The sequence below is a fragment of the Homo sapiens genome, chromosome 4, assembly GCF_000001405.40.
Source record: "Homo sapiens chromosome 4, GRCh38.p14 Primary Assembly".
Taxonomy (NCBI): Eukaryota; Metazoa; Chordata; class Mammalia; order Primates; family Hominidae; genus Homo; species Homo sapiens.
The window spans coordinates 68,583,550-68,589,055 of NC_000004.12; the positions used below are offsets into that span (position 1 = coordinate 68,583,550).

A 5,506-nucleotide genomic window follows, 5' to 3' on the forward strand; every position below is an offset into this window, starting at 1 on the left:
AAAGAAAAAAGAAAAAGAAAATATGAACAAAGTCTCCAAGAAGTCTAAGATTACGTTAAATAACCAAATCTAACAGTAATCGGTATTCCTGAGGAAGAAGACAATTCGAAAAGTTTGGAAACATATTTGGGAGAATAATTGAGGAAAACTTCCCCAGTCTTGCTAGAGACCTATACAAGAAGCACAAAGAACACCTGGGAAATTCATCACAAAAAGATCTTCACCTAGGCACATTTTCATCAGGTTATTCAAAGTTAAGATGAAGGAAAGAAGCTGGGCATATTGGCTCACGCCTGTAATCCCAGACCTGATCAGGTGGTCGGAGGTGGGTGGACAACCTGAAGTCAGGAGTTCGAGACCAGCCTGACCAACATGGAGAAACCCTGTCTCTACTAAAAATACAAAACTTTGCTGGGTGCGGTGGCACATGCCTCTAATCCCAGCTACTCGGGAGGCTGAGGCAGGAGAATCACTTGAACCCAAGAGGTAGAGGTTGTGGTGAGATCATGCCATTGCACTCTAACCTGGGCAACAAGAGTGAAACTCCATCTCAAAATAAAAAAAAAAAAAAGATGAAGGAAAGAATCTTAAGAGTTGTGAGAGAGAAGCACCAGGTAACCTACAAAGGACAACCTATTTGATTAACAGCAGATTTCTCAGCAGAAACCCTATAAGCTAGAAAGGATTAGGGCCCTATCTTCAGCCTCTTCAAACAAACAATTATCAGCCAAGAATTTTGTATCCAGTGAAACTAAGCATCATATATGAAGGGAAGATAGCCGTTTTCAGACAAACAAATGCTGACAGAATTCGCCATTACCAAGCTACCACTACAAGAACTGTTAAAGGAACTCTAAATCTTGAAACAAATTCTGGAAACACATCAAAACAGAATATCTTTAAAACATAAATCACACAGGACCCAAAAGATCATTCAAGGCTGCTATGAACACCTTTATGCACATAAACTAGAAACTTAGAAGAGATGGATAAATTTCTGGAAAAATACAAGCCTCCTAACTTGAATCAGGAAGAATTAAATACACTGAACATACCAATAAGAAGCAGCAAGGTTGAAATGGTAATTTAAAAATTACCAACAACAAAAAGTCCAGGACCAGACAGATTCACAGCAGAATTCTACCAGACATTCAAAGAAGAATTGGCACCAATCCTTTTGACATTATTCCACAAGACAGAGAAAAGAGGAACCCTCCCTAATTCATTCTATGAAGCCAGCATCTCCCTAAAACCAAAACCAAAAAAGGACACAACCAAAAAAGGAAACTACAGACCTATATCCTTAATGAACATAGATGCTAAAATCCTTAACATGATACTAGCTAACCGAATCCAACAACATATCAAAAAGATAATCCACCGTGATAACGTGAGTTTTACACCAGGGATGCAGGGATGGTTTAACATACACAAGTCAATATATGTGATACATCACATAAACAGAATTAAAAACAAACATCACATGATCATCTCAATAGATGCAGAAAAAGTGTTTGACAAAATCCAGCATCATTTTATGATTAAAACTCTCAGCAAAACTGACATACAGGGGAATACCTTAATATAATAAAAGCCATCTATGACAAACCCACAGCCAACGTAATACTGAATGGGAAAAAGTTGAAAGCGTTCCCTCTGAGAAAGGGAAGAAGACAAGGATGCCCACTCTCACCACTCCTCTTCAACATAGTACTAGAAATCCTAGCCAGAGCAATCAGAAAAGAGAAAGAAATAAAGGACATCCAAATCAGTAAAGAAGAAGTCAAACTGTCCCTGTTTGCTAACAATATCATTGTTTACCTTGAAAATCCTAAGGACTCCTCCAGAAAGCACCTAGAACTGGTAAAGGAATTCCACAAAGTGTCCAGATGCAAGATTAATGTACACAAATGAGTAGATCTTCTATACACCAAAGGCAACCAAGCAGAGAATCAAATCAAGAACTCAACCCCTTTTACAATAGCTGCAAAAAAGTAAAGTAGAGTAAAATACTTAGGAATATACCTAACAAAGGAGTCAAAAGACCTGTCTACAAGGAAAACTACAAATCACTGCTGAAAGAAATCATAGATGACACAAACAGATGGAAAAACATCCCATGCTCATGGATGGGTAGAATCAATATTGTGAAAATGATCATACTGCCAAAAGCAATCTACAAATTCAATGCAATCTCCATCAAAATACCACGATCATTCTTCACAGAGTTAGAATAAACAATTCTAAAATTCATATGGAACCAAAAAAGGGCCCACACAGCCAAAGCAAGACTAAGCAAAAAGAACAAATCTGGAGCCATCACACTACTTGATTTCAAACTGTACTCTAGGGCCATAGTCACCAAAACAGAGTGGTACTGGTATAAAAACAGGCACATAGATGAATGGAACAGAATAGAGAACCCCAAAACAACACAAATACTTACAGCCAACTGATCTTTGATGAAGTAAACGGAAACATAAAGTGGGGAAAGGACACCCTTTTCAACAAATGGTACTGGGATAATTGGCTAGCCACATGTAGGAGAATGAAACTGGATCCTTATCTCTCACCTTATACAACAATCACCTCAAAATGGATTAAAGACTTAAACCTAAGACCTGAAACTGTAACTCTAGAAGGTAACATTGGGAAAACCCTTCTAGACGTTGGCTTAGGCAAGGATTTCATGACCAAAAACCCAAAAGAAAAGCAGTAAAACCAAAGCTAAATAGCTGGGATCTAATTAAACTAACTTTTGCACAGCAAAAGGAGCAGGCAGCAGAGTAAACAGACAACCCACAGAGTGGGAGAAAATCTTCTCAATCTATACATCTGACAAAGTACTAATATCCAGGATCTACAACGAATTCAAACAAATCAGTAAGAAAAAAAAAACCCCAATAAAAAGTGGGCTAAGGACATGAATAGACAATTCTCAAAATAAGTATACAAATGACCAAGAAACATATGAAAAAAGTGCTCGACATCGCTAATGATCAGGCACATGCAAATCAAAACCACAATGCAATACTACCTTACTCCTTCAAGAATGGCCATAGTAAAAAAATCAAAATACAGTAGATGTTGGCATGGATGCAGTGATCAGGGAACACTTCTACACTGCTGGTGAGAGTGTAAACTAGTACAGCCACTATGGAAAACAGTGTGACGATTCCTTAAAGAACTAAAAGAACTACCATTTGATCTGGCAATCCCACTTCTGGGTATTTACCCAGAGGAAAAGAAGTCATTATTCAAAAAAGATACTTGCACATGCATGTTTATAGTAGCACAATTCACAACTACAAAATTATGGAACCAACCCAAATGTCCATCAGTCAATGAGTGGATAAAGAAACTGGTATATCCATATGATGGAATATTACTCAGCCATAAAAATTAATGAATTAGTAGCATTTGCAATGATCTGAATGAGATTGGAGATTATTATTTTAAGTGAAGTAACTCAGGAGTGGAAAACCAAACATCATCTGTTCTCAATGATAATGTGGGAGCTAAGCTATGAGGACACAAAGGCATAAGAATGTTACAATGGATTTTAGGGACTTGAGCAGAAGAGTGTGAGGAAGCAAGGGATAAACGACAACATATGTGGTACAGTATGTACTGCTTGGGTGATGGGTGCACCAGGATTTCACAAATCACCACTAAAGAACTTATGTAACCAAATACCGCCTGCACGCCAAAAACCTATGGAAAAATAAAAAAAATTTAAAAAATGAAATCATACAATGTATGGTCTTTAGTGAGTGGCTTCTTGTGCTTAGCATAATGTATTAAAGGTTCACCCATGGAAGAGTGTATATAAGGACTTCATTTCTTTCTATTGTCAAATAGTACTCCAAAGTGCATATATACTCATTTTATTTGTTCATTTATCAGTTGGTAGACATAGATTTTTTCCATTTTTGATGATTATGAATAATATTGATTAACATTTATGTACAAGTTTTCTGTGGACATATTTTTATTTCTCTTGGGTGTATATCTAGAAGTGGAATTACTGGATTACATGGTAAATGTATATGTAACCTTTTGAGGAATTGCTAACTGTTTTTCACAGTGGCAGAATTATTTTCCATTCTCACCACCAATGCATGATGGCTTTAATGTCTCCATAACCTTGTCAATGGTTGTTATCCTATGTTTTTTGATTACAGCCAGTGTGAGTGAAGTGATATCTCATTATGATTTATATTTCCTTCATATCTAACAATATTGAGCATTCTTATGTGCTAATTTCCCATTATATATTTTCTTAGAAAAATTTCTATTTTGATACTTTGCCCATTTTGATTATTTGTCCTCCTTTTATGGACTTATGCATTTAATAAATTTTTGACATAAGTCCCTTGTCACATATATGATATCCAAGTATATTATCTTATTTTTTTGGTTGTCTTTTTACTTTCTTAATGATGTCCATTGAAACACAAAAATATTAATTTTGATGAAATCCTATGAATCAACTTGAATTGGGTCACTTTTATTTTTAGTGTCATATCTACTAAACTATCCCCAAATGCAAAATCATGGACATTAGCAACCATGTTTCATTATTAGAGTTTTACAGTTCTATTGCTTACATTTAGCTTTTAACTTATTTTGAGTTAATTTTTGTAAGTGGTTTGAGGTAGGGGGCCAACCTCTATTATTTCGTATATGGATAATCAGTTTTCTCAATTACATTTGTTGAATAATCTATTCTTTGACTCATTAAATTGGGCACTTTGGTCAAAAACCATAAATGCGTGAGTATATTCCTAGATTCCAAAATCTATTACACTGATTTGTATGCCTACCTTATGTCTGTATCACACTCTCTTGATTATTGTATATTGGTATTTGTCTTTAAAAGCAGAAAGTGTAAGCCTTCCAACTTTGTTTTTTATTTTAAATTGTTTCAGCTATTTTTTTTTCTTCTAGCTTTTTTTTTTTTTTTTTTTTTTTTTTAAGGCAGGGGTCTCACTACATTTCCCAGGCTGAACTAGAAGTCCTGGGCTCCAGCAATCAATGAATTTCAGCCACCTGAGTAGCTGGGGCTACAGGTGCATGCCACTACATCTAAATTGTTTCAGTTATTACTGTCTCCTACATATCTACATACATTTTAGAATCAGCTAGTCAATTTATGCAAGAAGTTATCTGGGATTTTAATAGGGATTGAATTGAATCTGCATAACAATTTGGGGAGCAGAGTATGGGCATTGTCACAATATTAGGTGTTTCAATACATGAGTATAAGATGCCTTTTCATTTATTTAGATATCATTTAATTTATTTCCATAATGTTTTGTAGATTTCACAGGGCAAGTTTTACTCTCCTTTTGTTAAATTTATTGATGGCCAGGCGTGGTGACTCACACCTGTAATCCCAGCACTTTGGGAGGCCTAGGTGGGCAGATCACAAGGTCAGGGGTTCGAGATCAGCCCGACCTACATGGTGAAACCCCGTCTCTACTAAAAATACAAAAATTAGCCA

At 35.9% G+C, this 5,506-nt stretch overlaps 1 annotated feature.

Annotated features, from left to right (window-relative positions):
• Positions 1,433-1,535: a silencer, noted in NCBI's record as "fragment chr4:69450700-69450802 (GRCh37/hg19 assembly coordinates)". NCBI's record gives its function as "represses an EF-1alpha promoter that drives an FKBP-Casp9 reporter gene in an ReSE screen in phorbol 12-myristate 13-acetate-treated (for megakaryocytic differentiation) K562 erythroleukemia cells {active_cell/tissue: K562(+PMA)}" and the evidence as "EXISTENCE:reporter gene assay evidence [ECO:0000049][PMID:32094911]".